This window comes from Homo sapiens, chromosome 22 (genome assembly GCF_000001405.40).
Source record: "Homo sapiens chromosome 22, GRCh38.p14 Primary Assembly".
NCBI lineage: Eukaryota > Metazoa > Chordata > Mammalia > Primates > Hominidae > Homo > Homo sapiens.
In genome coordinates, this window is record NC_000022.11 from 10,670,041 (window position 1) to 10,690,260 (window position 20,220).

Genomic DNA, 20,220 nt, shown 5'->3' on the forward strand with positions numbered 1-20,220 from the left:
CATGCCCACTTACTTTTAATGATAAATTGTGTTTGGTTATATTTTGATTACAGTATATTATGCTATGATTTATATGCACATATCTGTCTTTTGCTGTCTTGTTTGTTTTTATTGCTTTTGTTTTGATGTTGTGATATTTGGAAGAGTTAAACTTTTATTCTGATGGCTACCTTATGGAATTTCATAAAATCATCTCTTTCTTTAGACAGTAGCTAATGTCTCTAAACTAAGAACAATGGTATTAGCTGTATTCTCTTTCTTGTCCTCCCTATGTGATTTTTCATCCCACAATTTGATTTAATCATATTAACTTTGTTTCCCCTGGTGCCACTAAGTATGCTTACATTTCTATAAACAATATCCTTTGACTCCCAGGCATTACAGATGAGCAGTCAGTAAAATCATTCTGAGGAATACTTTCTCTTTCCTTTTCTTCCATTTTTCTTAGTTGTATCATTTCTATATTGCCAGAGCACCTACAGTTGCATTTCTTTCTGTCAGCTTTATCCAGCATTTGTTTTTGTCTTTTATTTGAAGTTAAATATATTCCTTGCTCACTACAACACTGGGGGAAGGAAGGTTTCTGTTGTCATTGTTGTGCTTGTACAGTTGTTTATTTAAAAACATTGGCGAAAACAAAAACTGTATGTAGATAGAATGGAGATAAGGCAGCAAATGAGAGAGACTGATGATGAGTGTGCCTATTCTAGACTGGGAGGTGTGCTACACTGAGTAGTGTCTCAAGGCCGCAGGAAAGGATGGTTGATTGCGAGCAGGTGGACTTTCTACTGGAGGAGAGAAGTCCTGCGCTCAACAACCTGTGCAGAACCAGAAACTGGTAATGCTTCAAATCAACTTACAGACCTGGAGGTAGAAATTTAAGAAAACTCGTTTAGCACCTAGTTACCTAGAAAATATTAGCAACTATTTGCTGAGCATCTATCAGTCTGTCTGTAGCATGGAAGACCTGAGTACAGGGAAACTGGATTAGTAACCGTGGGTCAGAAAATTATATAATATTCAACCAAAATTCCTGCTTTACATACACAGCACCTGGTATTTCCAGAACTAGAAGGTAAAGAAATTATTCGTGCTTGAACTTGCAGAAAACTGCCTTTTCCCTTCTTCTCTTGCATCTTAACCTGGAGCTTCCCTTTTCTTGAGCCTCAGTGTGCTTCCCAACTCAATTTATAGTTGACTTCCTGCAGTTTCTCTTTAGGACAGGGCTTTGTTTTGGGGGTGGTTAATTTGTAGGGTTCATAGGAAACAGACCACTCACAGCACCTGCTTTTTGCCATCCTCACCCTCAGCTATGAGTTGAGGCCCAGGAAGCCTTCTGTCAGCCTCAGCTGCTGTTCTCAGATTAATCTGCTGAGTTCTTTTTGCCTAGTAAGAATCTCTGAATTTAGGAACATAGATGTTAGCGCTTGTATTTCTAGGTTTTCCAGTTCCCAGGGCCATTAAACATTTTTTTCTTTCCTTTCCTTCTTCCAAAAAAATTGGTGATTCGCCTGGGTCCCTGTGGTTTAACCCCACAAAAGGGCCATGATGACACCCTGTTACATTGTTTTGTCATAGTTAATACCTTGTTATCCCAGTTGCTCAGTCAGTTTTGTGAGAGATTCAGGGATATTAATAAAACTGTGCTGCTGCTGCTACTAACACCTTGCATAAAAGCCCTATTAATTAAAATGATTATTTTGCATGTGATTTGAACTTGTAATTTTTATTCAAAGTTTTTCAACAGAGATCCAGAAAAGACCCTAGTTATATTTTTAGTTTTGTGCATTGCAACACTTTTTAGTGAAAAAAAAAATACATGAGAACAACACAAGTGATTTTAAAAGAATAAACCTACAATCCATTAATTATAAAATGAAATACTATGCAGGTGATAAGAATGAGGGAATCAACAAGAACTTGTGTGGGGTAACTATAAACTTTAAAAAAAAATTAATGCTCATGTGACCATATTATCGTTAAAAAAAAATACAAGCATACTTGCACACACCTTCAAGCAAAATGGGTACACGCATTTAAAAATATTTAAATTAAGTAAATGGCCCAGTAATTTAACTTTGTATAATTCTATGTTCTCTGATTATTTTATATGCTAGAAACAGGCATTACTGTTTTGTCTATTTCATTTGAAATAATTGTAGTCACATGAGGTTTGTTATAATACAGAGAGGTCACATATGCCTATTTTCTAATTGGATACCTTATTTATTACTATTGAGTTTTGAGAATTTTTTACATATGCTAGATGTAAGTTCTTTGTCAGATATATGGTATGCAAATTATTTCTCCCAGTCTGTAATTCATTTTTTCAACCTCTTTACAGGGTCTTTCTAAGTAAAAAAAAAAAAAAAAAAAAAAAAAAAAAAAAAGTGTTTATTTATTTTAATGAAGTCCAGTTTTATCACTTTTTCCTTTTGTAGATTTTGTTATCAACATCAAGCCTAAAAATTATTTGCCTAGCCCAAGGTCTCAAGAGTTTTCTTCTATTTTAAAAAGTTTAATGAATTTATTTATTTATTAATTATTTTTGAGACGAGGTTTCGCCCAAGCTGTAGGGCAATGGTGTCATCATTGCTCACTGCAGCCACTAACTGCTGGATTGAAGTGATCCTTCCACCTCAGCCACTTGAGTAGTAGCTGAGATTACAGGCACGAGCTACCATACACAACTTTAAGTTTTATAATATTGCATTTTACATTTAAGCCTGTGATTTATGTGAGCTAAATTTTATATAAAGTATAAATTTAGGTCAGTCTTAGTTTTTGTACCTGTGAATGTCCAATTGCTCTAGCACCATTTGTTGAAAAAGATATCCTTCCTTTAAACTGATTTTGCATCCTTGTAAAAAAAAAAATCAGTTGAATATAGTGTGGTCTGTCACCTTTTAATAAGATAAAAACATTGGCACTCACAAGATATCGAAGTTTAGAAATTTTTTTAAAGCTAAACTTCTGAAGATAGAATAAAAACACCTTCACATGTCAAATTAGTCAATTTGTATAGGACTAATTCATTTAAATATATTAAAATACAAAATAATTCAAACCACTAAAGTGATAATACAAGACTATAAATTTAAAGACTAATTATTAAGTCAAATTGCTGTATTCTACGTGTTAGAGTGAGTTCAAAAGATCCATTGTATTACTGTATAGGCAAAAGTTTTAATTTCAGAGGATGAAACTGATATATTACTGCCACCTTGTGGATATTCTGTTATTACAGGCTATTATAAAAAGCAATGAGGGTATGTAATCTGTTCTAACAAGAAGCGTTTCCTTTTTTTGTCGTTTTTATTATTGTTATTATTACGTTTTAAGTTCTGAGATACATGTACAGAACGTGGAGGTTTGTTACGTAGGTATACACATGCCATGGTGGTTTACTGCACCCATCAACCCATCATCTACATCAGGTATTTCTCCTAATGCTATCACTCCCCCAGTCTCCCACCCCCCTGACAGGCCCCGGTATGTAATGTTCCCCTCCCTGTGTCCATGTGTTCTCATTGTTCAACCCAATAGAAAAACAGAAGCATTTTCTGCTTTCCCAATATCTTTTTTTTTTTTTTTTTTTTTTTTTGAGACGGAGTCTCGCTCTGTGGCTCAGACGGGAGTGCAGTGGCGCAATCTCAGCTCACTGCAAGCTCCGTCTCCCGGGTTCACGCCGTTCTCCTGCCTCAGCCTCCCGAGTAGCTGGGACTACAGGCGCCCGCCATCACGCCCGGCTAATTTTTTTTGTATTTTTAGTAGAGACGGGGTTTCACCGTGTTAGCCAGGATGGTCTCGATCTCCTGACCTCGTGATCCGCCCGCCTCGGCCTCCCAAAGTGCTGGGATTACAAGCGTGAGCCACCGCGCCCGGCCCTGCTTTCCCAATTTCTTAAATACAATGCAACTTTATGTTTAATTTAACTAACTTAATTTTTTGAGACAAGGTCTAGCTCTGTTGCCCAGGCTGGAGTGGAGTGGTGTGAATATGGTTCAGTGAAACCTCCACCTCCCTGGCTCAAGTGATCCTCCTTCGTAAGCCTCTCGAGTAGCTAGGACTACAGGCACGCACCACCATGGCCAGCTAATTTCTTTTTTATTTTTTATAGAGATGAGGTCTCACTTTGTTGTCCATGCTGGTCTCAAATTCCTGGGCTCAAAGGATCCTCTTGCCATGGCCTTCCACAGCGCTGGGATTTATAGGTGTGTGTCATGGCACCAGGCCTAAGCAACTGTAGAGAAGCCTTTTTTTCTTTCATAAAAACAGTTGTAGATATTTTCCTTATGGAATTTATTTGTGGTGAAATATTTTAATAGACAGTTTAATTTGTTAAATAATTTGTCTCAGATAATAATAATTGATTAATATTAAAACTACAAAACAAGTAGGGTCTTCTTTTTCTATGAAAAATGAAAGTTGATTCTGACATTTATGTAAACATTTTAAATATTCAAAGTATATAAATGTGAAGTCCTATCAAGAGTAATTAGACAAGAGAAAGAAATAAAGGGCATTCAGATCGGAAAGGAGGACATCAAATTGTTCCTATTTGCAGATGACATGATCTTATATATAGGAAAACCTGAAGACTCTACCAGAAAACTTTTAGAACAAACAAATTCAATGAAGTTGCAAGACACAAAACTAATACACAAAGATTGGTTGCATTTATATTTATGAACAACAAACTCGCTGAAAAAGAAATTAAGAAGGCAAACCCATTTACAATACTTACCAAAAATAACCCAGACATAAATGTAACCAAGGAGGTAAAATGAAAACTACAAAACACTAATGAAAGAAATTGAAGAGGATACAAACAAATGAAAAGACATTCACACTCATGGATCAGAAATATGAATGTTGTTAAAGTGACAGTACTACTCAAAAGTAACCTACAGTTTCAATGCAATCTCTATCAAAATACCTATGAACATTCTTCACAAAATTAAAAAAAATCCAAAGAGATTTTATGGAATCAAAAAATATCCTGAATAGCCAAAGCCATCCTAAGCAAAAAGAACAAAGCTGGATGTATCATGCTACCAGACCTCAGAATATACTACAAAACTGTAGTAACCAAAACATCATGGTATTGGCATAAAAACAGACACATAGACCTATGGAATAGAATAAAGAACCCAGAAAATCCACACATCTCAGCCAACGGATTTTTTACAAAGATGCCAAGAACACTCATTGGGGAAAGGATAGTCTCTTCAATAAATGGTGCTGGAAAAACTGTATATCCATATGCAGAAGAATGAAACTAGACCTCTGCCTCTCACCCTATACAAAAATCAACTCAAAGTATCTCAAATACCCAAATTTAAGACCCAAAATGGTAAAGCTACTAGAAGAAAACATAGGGGAGATCCTTCAGGACATTGCTCTGGGAAAATATTTTATGAATAAAGCATCAAAAGCACAGGCAACAAAAGAAAAAATAAACAAATGGGATCACATCAAGCTAAAAATCTTCTGCACAGCAAAGGAAATAATAAAGTGAGTGAAAAGACAACCTACAGAATGGGAGAAAATATAAACTCATCTGGCAGGAAATTAATATCAAGAATATACAAGGAATTCAAACATAACAACAGCAAGGAAGCACAACAATCTAATTAAATATAAACAAATGCTCTGAACAGACATTTCTCAAAAGAAGACATACAAATGACCAACAAATATATGAAAAAATGTTCAACACCACTAATCAGCAAGGAAATGCTAATCAAAGCCACAGTGAGGCATCATCTTACTCCAGTTAGGATGGCTATTATAGAAGAGACAAAAATAACAAATGCTGACAAAGACGTGAAGAAAAGGGACATTTTTTTTGACAGAATCTCACTCTCCGTCCAGGCTGGAGTGCAGTGGTGGTGTAATCTGGCTCCCTCTGCTTCTAGGGTTCAAATAGTTCTCCTCCCTCAGCCTCCTGAGTAGCTGGAGAAAAAGGAACTCTTATGCACTGTTGGTAGGAATGTAAATTAGTGCAGCCCGTATGGAGAACAGTATTGAAACACCTCAAGCAATCCCACTACTGGGAATTTATCCAAAGGAAAGAAAAGCATTATATTGCAGAGACATCTGCATCCCCATGTTTATTGCAACAGTGTTCACAATAGCCAAGATATGGAATCAACCTAGGTTTCCAACAACAGATGAATGGATTTTTAAAATATGGTATATATACACCACGGAATGCTATTTAGCCATAAAAAAGTATAAATAAAATCCTGTCATTCTCAGCAACATGGATGGAACTGGAGGATATTATGTTAAGCAAAATAAGCCAGGAATAGAAATTTCAACACCACATGTTCTCACTCACGCAGAAGCTAAAAAAAAGTTGATCTCATAGAAGTAAAAAGTAGAACAGAGGATAATGCAGGCTGAAAAGGGTAGGGAGAAAGGAGGAATAGTAAGAGATTTGTTAATGGATACAAAATTACAGCTAGGTAGGAGTAATACGTTCTAGTGTTCTATAGTACTGTAGATGACTATAGTTAACAATACTATATTATGTAGTTTAAAATACCTAGGAGTAGTTTGAATATTCCCAACACAAAGAAATAATAAATGTTTGACATGATAGATATGCTAATTACCCTGATCTGATCACCATCTACATGTACTGAAACATCCCCGTATAGCCATGAATATGTATAATCTTTGTCAATTTAAAAAGTAAAAAAAAAATAATTAATCTTGGAGAATGCATTTGAAGGACTTGTACTCAAGAAATCAACTTAAGAACCTCAGTCTCCTTGGAATTTGTGTTTTCTAGACCAGTACTTCTCCAAATTAAAGCAAATTTAGGCTAGGCATGGTGGCCCATGTCTATAATCTGAGCACTTTGGAAGGCCGAGGCGGGCAGATCACTTGATGTCAGGAGTTCGAGACCAGCTGACCCAACATTGTGAAACACTGTCTCTACTAAAAATACAAAAATTAGCTGGGCATGATGGCATGTGCCTGTAATCCCAGCTACTTTGGAGGCCGAGGCAAGATAATCACTTGAACTGGAGAGGTGGAAGTTGCAGTGAGCCGAGATTGCACCACTGCGCTCCAGCCTGGGCAACAGAGCAAGACTCTGTCTCAAAAAAAAAAAAAAAAAAGCGAATTTAGTTCACTTTGGTATTGTGTCAAAATGTTGATTCTTTTAAAGTAAATCTAAAGAATTTAGATGTAGTTGAAGCTTGTCATCTGTTCTTAATTTTTTTAATAAAAATATAATATTTCGATTCAGAGTAAATCTAAAGTGAGACCTGAAGCTGCTCCCAGGTGATACTGATGCTGCTTATTTTTGCCCAGATTTTGAGTCACAAGGTCCTAAATTATTGGTTTGAAGTCCTACATGAGTAATCACTTGGGGAGCTCAATTAACACCCAGCAACAGACTAATTATTAATAAACCAGAATCTTCAGTATTAGTCTTCAATCATTGGCAATTTTTTTTTGACACACAGTCTCCCACTGTCTCCCAGGCTGAAGTCCTGAGGCCAGAATGAGACTAGGACATGGTTCCTTTGCCTAAGTAAAGTGAGGCAGACAATGGAATACTTCAGACTTCAAATTAGTATGGTAAGTGCTATGAAGAGTATGATTAGAGTTCATTACTTACCCAGAAAAGGGTCACTCAGCCCAGCCTGGGAGTTAGAGAAGGTTTCCTGAAGTCTTGACATGTGAGTCATGAAAGGACATAAGGAGTTAAACACGTGACAAAATAAGCTAAGAGAATTCTCAACAAAAGACAAAATATTGGCAAAGGCTTTTAGGCATATACTATCTTAGTATTATTGGGAGAATGTAATGACTTTCTGTATTTCAAAAGTGTAAAATACAAAGTGGGCCATGGTATGAGATAAACCAGTAAATATGTTCTGGGAACATGTCATAGAAGGGCGTGTATGCTGTCCTAAGGAGCTTAAACTTCAACTTCAGTTCATGGGAGCCAATGACAAGATCTGAGCAGGGGAAGGATGTGGCTAGAGGGGCATTTTAGACAGACAAGATCCTCTGTGGATTACACCTAGGCTAAGCAACGGGTTAAAGTTGTTGTCTTAAGACAATAGTCCAGGTAAAAGATAATAAAGTTTTAAATTAGGATGTTGGTAGGAATGAGGAAGAGGGATGGATTTCAGAAATAGTAAGGAAATGTATTAGCAGGACTTGATTAGTGATTGACTTGGGGAAGGAGGGGAAGATAGAGTTCAGGATGACTCCGAGACTGTCTGGTGTCGGTGGCTAATGACTGAAGCTATTAATAGAGGTAGGAAATGCAGACCAAAAGCAGGCCCGGGGTGAGAGATGATAAATTTGAATTTTAACATGTTGAGTTTGGACATCCAGGATGAAATAACCACAAAACATTTAAATATACGAATCTGAAAAGGTAAGCATCATAAGCATATGAGCTATTGGTAAAATTCTGATACTTAATGAAGTCTCGCAGGGAGGCAGTACAGAGGCAAGCAATGGGCTGGGGATAAAACATAGGGAAATGTTATTTAAATAAAGATGAAAGAAAAGGAGCCCACAAACGAAGCTGAAAAGGCATAGTCAAAAAAAGAGGATTGCCAAAGTGCCACCTTTGAAGCTCTGCTGTTACACTTTATAAGGAAACTTTTGGTTACCTGGGATTGCATGCATTTATAAAAGTTTCTATTATTAGGAAGACAATAATAATGATAAGGCTCTTTCTCATTGTTGTCACTGTAATTTATCTATTTAATTATAGAACCCAGTTCCAGGATGCTTAATCTGAAGTGTATACTTGGGGCAAAATGAATTATATCTTAATAATAATCTGGAATTATTCTCTCTAACTTGACATATTTTAATTCTTGCTAGATTTTCAAAACGTCATACCTCGAACCACCACCAGATGGCTATGAGAATGTTACAAATATTGTGCCACCATATAATGCTTTCTCAGCCCAAGGCATGCCAGAGGTAAAATAAAATACATTTGTAACCCAAGTCTTTAAATGGTTCTTTTGCTATATAAAACCTGTATAGAGGACTAAAACCAAGGAAATTAGGTGAATCATTCATGCGGATTCATTTTTTGATATTCAGTACTATGAAAACCTCATCCCTCAAATTTAAAAAATTATAATAAAATAGAAAAGAACACCAGACAGAGAAAAAAGAAACAAAACAAACACATTAAAAACTGACCCTGCTGAAGCAGATGCCACTCTTTGAAATAACAAAGAAACTGCTGAACACGCCTTTAATTCAGTGAGGCAGTAGGTGTTTTTTTGTTTGTTTGTTTTTGTTTCGTTTTGTTTTTTTGAGACGGAGTTTCGCTCTTGTCACCCAGGCTGGAGTGTAGTGGCACAATCTGGGCTCACTGCAACCTCCGCCTCCCAGGTCCAAGCAATTATCTTGCCTCAGCCTCCTGAGTAGCTGGGATCACAGGTGCACACCACCACACCCTGCTAATTTTGTATTTTTTTTAGTGGAGGCGGGGTTTCTCTATGTTGGTCAGGCTAGTCTCGAACTCCCAACCTCAGGTGATCGGCTCACCTTGGCCTCCCAAAGTGCTGGGATTACAGGCGTGAGCCACCACGTTATAAAGGGAAACTTCCTATTTGCCCTCTAAAGGTTTGCAGAAAATGAATGGACAAAACATAAATTAATAGAAGAAAGAGGCAAAAAAAAATTCTGTAAAATGTAGGGGAAAAATCACAGGGTCTCTCTGTTACCCAGCATGAAGTGCAGTGGTGTGATCATGGCTCATTGCAACCTTGAATTCTGAAGCACAAGTGATTCTCCCCCCTAAGCCTATGGAGTAGCTGGGATCACAGGGGCATGCCACCATGCACACATACATGGTTATTTGCTGGAGAGGAGATGGAGACTCTCTGTCCTGGATGTGAGACAGTTGGCTGGCATCTGGGTAAGGATGACATTCCCTCATTGCTAAAGAGTAAAAGAGGAAAGTGTCATGGATAGTGCAAACAGGGACAAGCCCTGACCTAGTGAGGTCCAGAGGCTTATATTGTCCATCATAGGGGAGTGGAAAGAAGCGAGTGTAGGCAACCCAGGGGAAATAAATGACCTAAAATAAAAGAAAAAGATCATCAGAAGTGTACATGTATTAGTCAGGGTTCTCTAGAGTGACAGAATTAAAGGACTATATACATATGTATATGAAAGGGAGTGACATGGTTAATAATGAGTGTCAACTTGATAGGATTGAGGGATATGAAGTATTGATCCAGGGTGTGTCTGTGAGAGTGTTGCCGAAAGAGATTAACATTTGAGTCAGTGGGCTGGGGAAGGCAGACCCACCCTTAATCTGGTGGGTACAATCTAATATGCTGCCAGCAAATATAAAGCAGGCAGAAAAATTTGAAAAGGAGAGACTGGCCTAGCCTCCCAGCCTACATCTTTCTCCCATGCTGGTTTCTTCCTGCCCTCAAACATTGGACTCCATGGCTCTCCTTTCTCATCAGTTTGCAGACAGCCCATTGTGTAACTTATGATCCTGTAAGTTAATAAACTCCCCTTTATAAATAAATATATATATATGTGTGTGTGTGTGCATATATATATGTATGTGTGTGTGTGTGTATATATATATGTATATATCCTGTTAGTTCTATCCCTCTAGATGTCACTGGCTAATACAGGAAGTTTATTAAGTATTAACTCACACAATCACCAAGTCTCACAATAGGCCATCTGCTGGATGAGGAGCAAAAAGAGCCAGCCAGAGTTCCAAAACTGAAGAACTTGGAGTCCATGTTCGAGGGCAAGAAGCATCCAGCATGGGAGAAAGATGTAGGCTGGGAGGCGAGGCCCGTCTCTTTTCACATTTTTCTGCCTGCTTATAGTATGGATGGGTTGGCAGCTGATTGGATTGTGCCCACATAGATTAAGGGTGGGTCTGCCTTTCCCAGCCCACTAACTCACATGTTAATCTTTTTTTGACAACACCCTCACAGACACACCCAGGATGAATACTTTACATCCTTCAATCCAATCAAGTTGACACTCATTATTAACCATCACAAGCCCACCCCTTGTGAACTTGAACCCACACACATCTCCTGAGATCATACATAATCTTAAAGTACAGACAATAGTAAGGTCATAATTACCCCAACATAATAAACTATCCTTCCTTCAACTGGAAATGCACCAATCCCCAACCCAAATACTATTACATAAAGTAAACAATACTTAAATGCTGATATGAGGTGAGCAAATCTATGTCACCTGATAAAGAAAAGGGAAATGAAATGAAGATATTTTCTTAGTACAAGTGCATACATGCACAAACATGTTTTTAACAAAAGAAGAAGGAAATACTCATGATAGTTCCAGTCCTCATTTCTGCAGCTGGTCAGGTGGTCGTAGCTGGTATTGATAACTACTTTCTTCCACTATTCATTCTGTATTCCCTTTGCCTTCAGCAAGCACCTCAGCAGGTCGTGACCCGGAGAGGATCTGGACCACTTGTAGTCCTACCTGGATTGGGTATAGCTTCCCATTTACCTTAATCAGAGTGCATGATAATACCAAGAGATGCCCTAATGGATCTCCTATATTCCATGCATACTCTTCCTCACTTCCGTTGTGGAGTAGCGGACTGACTTCATCTTGATAGTCTGGGTCAATCACTGCCACCAACACTGTAACTCCATTCTTAGCTTGTTGACTTAAAGGTAGGAGGACCCCAAAGCGTCCAACTGGCCATCTTAACTTCCAGTTTAATGGAATCGTTATTGTGTCTCCTGGTAGCAGCGTTCTTCCCTCTGGAGCTAAGATGACTAGTAAAGCAGAACCCAATGTCGTGGGAACAGAAAGCAAACATTTTGCTAGTGCATCATAGTGAGTGGTTCCACTTTCACATCCAACCCTTGAATCCTGGATCTGTGAATCCTGGCTATGGGAGAAACAATACCATACATTGGGCGCTGATTCAGAGCACACATGGTCTTCTGGAGTATGGTGCCCCGAACCGGCCAAGTATTGTAACCTAGTTGACGTTGTAATCACGACCTCAAAAGGCCGTCCCACCATTCTATCAATCCAGCTGCTTCAGGAAGATGGGGAATATGGTAAGACCAGTGAATTCCGTGAACATGAGCCCACTGCCTCACTTCTTTACCTGTAAAGTGAGTACTTGGTCAGAGGTAATGCTGTGTGGAATACCGTGATAGTGGATAAGGCATTCCTTGAGTCCATAAATGGTAGTCTTGGCAGAAGCATTGCATGCAGGTAGGCAAACTCATATCCGGAGTAAGTGCCTGTTCCAATGAGGACAAACCTCTCTCCTTTCCATGGTGGAAGAGGTCCAATATAATCAACCTGTCACCGGGTAGCTGGTCGATCACCCCAGGGAATGATGCCATACAAAGTGTTTACTGTTAGTCTCTGCTGCTGCTGGCAAATTGGGCACTCAGCAGTGGCCACAGACAGTTCAGCCTTGGTGAGTGGAAGTCCACATTGCTGAATCCATGCATAGCCTCCATCCCTGACACCATGGCCACTATGTTCATGGGCTCATTGGACAATGACAGGGGTGTCTGAGGAAAGAGGCTGAGTGGTATCCACAGAACGGGTCATCTTATCCACTTGATTATCAAAATCCTCCTCTGCTGAAGTCACTTGTTGGTCAACACTCACACAGGGTACAAATATCTTCAGTTTTTGACCACTCAGAGAGGTCCATCTACATACTCTTTCTCCAAGTTTCTTTGTCACCAATTTTCCAATCATGCTTCTTCCAAGTCCCTGACCATCCAGCCAAACCATTGGCTACAGCCCATGAATCAGTATATAACCGCACATCTGGAAATTTCTCCTTCCATGCAAAGTGCACAATCAGGTGCACTGCTCAATGTTCTGCCCACTGGGAAGATTGTCCTTCACCACTCTCCTTCAGGGATGTCCTAGAAAGGGGCTGTAGTGCTTCAGCTGTCCACTTTTGGGCGGTACCTGCCTATTGTGGAGAACCATCTGTGAACCAGGCCCTAGTCCTCCCTTCCTGTGTCAACTGCTCAAAGGCAAGTCCCCATGAGGTCATCAGTGCAGGCCGTGGGAGAGAAGGCAGGGTGGCAGGGTGGGCATTTGAGCCACTTCCTCATGTAACTTACTTGTGCCCCCCAGGACCTGCTTGAGCCCAATCCCTTATACACCATTTCCATTTGATGATGCAATGCTGCTGTGCATGACCCACTTTATGGCTACATGAGTCAGAAAGCACCCAGTTCACGATAGGCAGTTCAGGTCGCATGGTGACTTGTTGACTCATAGTCAAATATTCAGTTTCCACAAAAGCCCAGTATAGGACAAGAGCTGTCTCTCAAAAGGAGAGTAGTTAACTGGAGAACATGACCGGGCCTTGCTGCAAAATACTAGAGGACTGCACCATGATTCACCTATGGAGGCCTGCCAAAGCCTCAAAGCAGCATTCCTATCTGCCATGGACACCTCAGGGGGACCCAGCCTCCCCTTCATTCAAGGGGTTCTGGGTCTGTAAACTGGCTCAAGGCTGGAAATTGATTGAGGGGCCATGAATCTCTGTTTTTATAATTCCAATTAGTCTTTTATCTGTTTGACCTTAAGTTTCCTCCTTACATAAATTAAGTAGGAATGCATTAGTCTTCCTGTCAGTTTCACTTCTAGGAGCACTGTGATTAGTTAGCCAATGCCAGAGCTCTACATGAGTCAGACTGTTCAGATTGCTGCTTTGTCTTTTCTGCCCATTACGGTAGCTACACCCACCATGCCTTTGAGGGTTGAGTGCTACCACTTGGCCCCTGCCACTTCAGGATCCAATTATTCCAAATTGTATTTAACTTTTGTAACTGAGTGACTGCAGTTCTCACCATTAGAACTGACATACAGAGAAGAGCCTTTACAGGGCTCTTCAAAGATGCAGGTGCTGTCCTCACAAATCTATTTTGCAAGGTGTTTGTCAAGGGTATTAGGTACAGAGTCACTAAACTCCTTGCCTCTCACGAGCGATGATTCATTAGTGTCGAATGAATTTGTTTTGCATAGCTCTTTAAACCTTTCATGCCAAGAACTGTCAATGTTCTCTACACTATTAAAAGTAGAGTCCTTAGCATTTTGGGATCTAATCATATTTAGCAGCCAAATCCAGAAACCCCAAAACCAACAAAAGAACTCCAACCTTAATATTCTGTTCCTGCAGAACCATTCCTGGTACCAAAATCTGTATTAGTGAGGGTTCTCTAGAGGGACAGAACTAATAAGTTCTATATATATATATGGGTTTATTACATATTATTACATATTAACTTACAGGATCACAAGGTCCCACAGTAGGCTGTCTGCAGGCATGAGGAGTGAGGAGTAAGGAGAGCCAGCTCGAGTCTCAAAAATAAAGAACTTGGAGTCCGATGTTCAAGGGTAGGAAGCATCCAGCACGGGAGAGAGATGTAGGCTGGGAGGCTGGGCCAGACTCACTTTTTCACTTTTTTTCTGCCTGCTTTATATTCACTGGCAGCTGATTAAATGGTGCCCATAGATTAAGTAGGGGGTCTGCCTTCCCCAGACTACTGACTCAAATATTAATCTCCTTTGGCAACACCCTCACAGACACACCCAGGAGCAATGCTTACATCCTTCAATGTAATCAAGTTGACAATCTGTATTAACTATCACAGGATTACAGACCTGAGCCATCACACACAGTGTTATTGTATATTTCATACAATTTCCTGATTTTCCCATTTTATCTGTGACTTAATAAAGTTTTTCAGCTATGACCCCAAACTGTTAATAATTGAAAGCACATTCAAATGTATTTTGCAACAACTCGTAACTGGCAAAATGTTGAGCCTTGTGGAAAGAGTCACCTTACTTCCCCGTCAGCTGTCAATTCCCCATCACTACTATCACTTCTGGGAGCACATTTTCCAAAACTCCTTTTCTCTCTCTGGTTTCTTTAGAGTTGCTCCATGAGGTCACAGTAAGTTACAACTAATTACTGTCATGAGATTGGGAAGTCAGAGTGGTGGATTCATGTACACTGACACCTGAAGTAAAACACATGCTGTTAGGTGTGGACTGGAGAATCACCTGGAGATGTGCTGCAGGCAGCTGAGAGCATCAGCACCCCCAGCTCTGGGCTTCCCAGACAGGACTGAGGATCATCACACGGTGTTCAGCACATACCATCAGGGGCAGGTGAACCCTGGCTTCTGAAGTAGCACCTGAGAATCCCCTGTGTCTAGTACCTGCTTCATGAATAACACTCCATAGGCTTCAGAAAGACTGTGGTTTAGACTCTAATTTATTCAACTTGAATAATTGCTCCTTGAAATACTGAGAATAGCTTCTCTTTTGCTGTACAAATTCCGATTATCCCATAACACAGACACCTCAGCTGGACTTATCTCTCTTCTTTATTCAGTCAGGACAGTCATTGTCATGTCTTTTCTGCTGGGGATGAGGGTGAAAGAGGCTTAGGGTTCAGAGGAACCTCCCTGGCCTCCTCTAGGAAAATCTCCCTATGACTTTCCAAACCTGACTGAGTTTGAGAACTTCCCTCAGCAGATAGAGGCACCAGAAGGAGCATTGGGGCAGCCCAGCCTCACGCATCTGCTTCCTTGGGGTTTATGTTATGACTTGTAACACTGTGGGAGGGATACTGTCACTCTGTTGACAGTAATAAGTTGCAAAATCTTCAGGCTGCAGGCTGCTGATGGTGAGAGTGTAATCTGTCCCAGATCCACTGTCACTGAACCGAGAGGGAATCCCACTTTGCAGACTGGATGCAGCATAGATCAGGAGCTTAGGAGTTTTCCCTGGTTTCTGCTGATACCAATTTAAATTATTGCTAATGCCCTGACTCGCCCGGCAAGTGATGGTGACTCTGTCTCCTACAGATGCAGACAGGGAGGATGGAGACTGGGTCATCTGGATGTCACATCTGGCACCTGAAGTTGGAAACATAAAAACAAATATTCTTGCAATTAATCATGTTATCAGAGGACTTCCCTGAAGTTCCAGACAGTACTGAGCACACTGACCAAGTATAATCCTAGTGTTCTCCTTCCTTACCTGGCAGCCAGAGCACCAGGAGCCCCAGGAGCTGAGTGGGGGCTCTCACGTCTGTGCTGTGTCCTGACTGGGACTGACTCCTGCACCGGGTGTGACCAGCCTATAAAAAGTCTTCAGGGCAGGGGGCTGTGCTCTAGGAACAGGGAAATCAGCAGGGGATGGGGCAGGCTGAGCACAGCTGCAGGGCTGGCTCATTTCAGTAACTCAGCACAGGGGCGCAGTATCCCCAGAGTCCCAGGTCAGACCAGGGCAGCACAGATTTACCTTGAAAGAATACATTTCTCATTGGTGGCCATACGGTTACAGAACATATTTTTGGAGTGAATTTTCAAAATTTTAAATCAACCTAAGACTAGATTAAATAATATATTTATACTTGTATTAGGAGTGTATAGGGAAGCATCATTTTTGGCAGAAAATTTACAATAAAGTTGTAGAATGTGGGGCTGTCAGAAATTTCAGTTAGTCTCAAAGGAATTTGAAGAGTGTAAAAGTATTTAGTGCTATAATAACAATGTCTCTGTCAGTGTGAAATTTCTTCTTTTTTGAAATGAATATAAAAAGAATTTATCAGAAGCATCTTTAATAAATTCAATAGAATTTACTAACAAACTTAAGACATTGTTCCTAGGAGTAAAAGGAAAAACAATTCTCTGAAGATGCACAAAGATGATAACTGTGTCACGCATAGATCTGCCATTAATTATCCAGAGCTATGGGTCTCTTTAAGACCCAGGGGCTAAATGGGCTGCACCTTATTCTTGGTGTGATGATCCCCATATTCTATCCCCTTTCCTGCCTTTGGTATAATTTCTTATGGTTCTCCAGCATGGAGAGCTGACTAGTAATACCAGGTCTCATTATTTCAACTAAAAACTCTGTTTCACTCGCTGACTATAGGAGCCTGGATTAAAATCAACTTGAAGCCCTCTATCAATCTAGGCTCAAATAGTCAATTGTTTCAAAGTAGGATGACAAAGGCCACATCCCCTGAGTAATGCTCTGAGCTGCGCTCCCCACCAGCCTGTTCTTGGGGTCTCAGGAGCATTTGCCCTAGAGTCTGGCTTTCTGGAGAGCAAGTGAGGGGGGAAAAGCCAGGTCAGTGAACCTCTCTCCTTAGCGAGGGCAGCTGCTGCCCAATGCATGTTCTTGCCATGCACCAGGGCAACATCCTGACCCAGATGCCAGCCACCCTGTCTCACATCCATTTAGAGAGAATCTCCATCTTCTGCCAAGACACTGCCCATGTAGATGAAAAAGTATTTTGCATCCAAACATATCTTAAGCACTGATTTGAACCTCAATACTTCACACAGATGCCTTTGTCCAGGGTGTGTCGGCCTGGCTCAACAGCAGGGGAAGTGGAGCCAATTACGTCAGTGTCAGTGGACTGAGAAATACTCCAGGGAGTAGTTCTCATGCACGACTACCAGTGGCCAGACCAAGGTAGTGCAGCCTGTGCACAAACCTCCTGCTGCTTTTCCAGAGGACTGGATTTCTGGGAAATGGCTACTGAACAGGCTGCCGGGATCCATATATCCAGATTCAGAGAGATACATCTCTGGATTCAAATGCGCTTTTTCTTTGTGCATAATTTTTGCAGTCATTGTTACTACGCCTTGGGGATTCTAGTCATTATACTTCAGCCGACTCTCTATGGCCCTTTCTCCCCTTCACTGCTCTATCTGAACCTGGGGAAGCAGCTCAGGCTGCAAATGAGGCAGACCTCATGGCCTGGAATTAACATCCCCTAGGACGGCTGTCAATCAGTGATGACAAGGGAGGTGTACACATCCCCCAGCTCCCTCACCTCTCAGGTGGAATAACAGAGGCATTTTTCCTGTGTTTCTATGTGGGCTTGAGCTCTCGTCATCCTCAGAGGTGGCTCCTTCTGAGGCACCTTTCACTTTCCCTTTCCCTCCTCCCCTCCCTTGCTCACTTGCTTGTTTCCCGCACTTTGTAAATACACTGCCTGCATGCGAATCTTTGGCATCCTTCTCACTGAGGGGACCCAACCTAATGCATTGGAAAAATCCTCATTCTTGGAGGGCATCATTGGTTTGAATTATTGCCACTTCTCCTGTTTTAATGCCTAGGGAAATTCCAAAAATTTAGGAAATCTTTAAATTCCCTTTGCCAATCTTTCTTAGATTTGATTTTAGCAGAGATTCATTTTCTCTAGGTCACAAAATCACAGAAGCCTTCCACAAATGGCTACACAACATAGAGTCCACATAGAGCAGAGACTCAGAATCTCCCAGGATTTGACATCCACACATCAGACAGTCCTAGAGTCTCAGGTTTTTTCTAGGTCGATCGCCTCATAAATCTGCCTTGTGATATTTTTATTCTACCTTAGGGGAAGACCATTGTGTGGATGATGAGAGTTGTTTGTGGAATAAATAATACACCCACTAAAGACATCATTGTCCTAATATCTGGAATCTATGATCATTACTTATGAATATGTCAAAAATAACTTGGCAGACATGGTTGAGAATTTTGGGGTCAGGAGAGTATCCTGAATTATCTGGGTGAGACCATCATAATCACAAGGGTCCTTACAATAGGGAGGGAGGAAGGTAACAGCCAGAGAGGACCTGGGACAACGGACGGGGAAACTGGAGTGATGGAGGTAGGGGCCATGCTGCTAGGAATGTGGGAACATCAGAAAGATGGAATGCTCGATATTGGATTCTCTCTCTTGAAGCCTAGACTGAATAGAGCCCTATTACTCCTTGATTTTACTTCATTGAGACTTCTGACCTCCAGAAATGTAAGGTAATACAGTTGTATTATGTGTAGCAGTAAGGTTGTGGTAATTTGTTACAGCAGCAACAGGAAACCAATGCAAGGGGAAGGGGTGTGTTTTACTTCCCTAGTGTATCACTGTCCTCTGTTCTCCCAAATAGTTCTGTGTTTTTGTGTTTGCTGTCAATTTCAAGAAGAGACAGAAAACATTTTCCTATGAGGAGAGCTAGCACCACAATTCTTCTTACGTAGAAAGTGTCTTGAGTAATTCTCTGGGTTAGGTCTTGTATAATCTTGGTATCTGAGAGCCTGGAGGTCATCCCTCACAGCACATGAGAAGAGGAAGGGGATGCGGGTTTGCTGTTTTAACATTTGTGGGGCAAATTAGATGTACAAGACTCATCCTTTATTATTATTATTATTATTATTTAAGTTCTAGGGTACATGTGCACAACGTGCAGGTTTGTTACATACGTATACATGTGCCATGTTGGTGTGCTGCACCCATTAACTCGTCACTTACATTAGGTATACCTCCTAATGCTATCCCTCCCCCCTCCCCCCACCCCACGACAGGCCCTGGTGTGTGATGTTCCCCTTCCTGTGTCCATATGTTCTCATTGTTCAATTCCCACCTGTGAGTGAGAACATGCAGTGATTGGTTTTTTTGTCCTTGCGATAGTTTGCTGAGAATGATGGTTTCCAGCTTCATACATGTCCCTACAAAGGACATGAACTCATCCTTTTTTATGGCTGCAAGCGAGGACTGAGTCAGAGAGATGGGGATGGCAGAGGAGACAAAATGTGGTCAGGGCCGTGTAAGATGTGACCCTGCTGCCATATCTGAAAGAAAGGCTGTTGGTGTTTGTAAAGGCTTTGGGCAAATTGTGCTTTGTAGACAAAACTGTAGAAGGGTCTGGGTTTAAGCTTAGTGTCAGCGTGATGAGGACTAGAGGTCGCAGTGAGCTTGTGTTAAGAAATCCACCCTGCACTTCTGGCTTTGTCTCTTTCCTGGTTTTATAGGTGGTGGGTTCCTCTATGGAATGAACGTGGCTCTGTGGAAGGAACATAGTTAAGGTCAGACAGACCTAGATTCCAAGTTCAGCTTCAACAACTGCTGACCAAGTGACTTTTATGCAAATCAGCCATGTGCTGTCATGAACAGTTTCCTCATGTGTGAAATGGGGCACTGAGGATGTGAAGGGGTGTCCTGAGGGTTCCGCCAACTGATGCACCATGAAGTGTACATACATGTATAGACAGACACACACACATACATGAGAAGAGTATCTAGTGCCCCTTTTATGCATTCTTGAGTAACTCAGAATGTTATGTGAGATATTAACAGTCATATGTCATTTTCAACTAAAATTATCAATATTTATCTTATAACTAACAGAT

At 40.7% G+C, this 20,220-nt stretch overlaps 1 gene segment (V, D, J or C); it reads right to left on the minus strand.

The window, feature by feature from the left end:
• Window positions 1-15,606: 15,606 nt before the first annotated feature.
• Window positions 15,607-17,987, minus strand: LOC124905154 (immunoglobulin kappa variable 1-39-like). The segment is given in 2 exon segments: window positions 15,607-15,944; window positions 17,879-17,987. Coding segments are annotated over 2 exon segments (348 nt in total).
• Window positions 17,988-20,220: the final 2,233 nt, after the last annotated feature.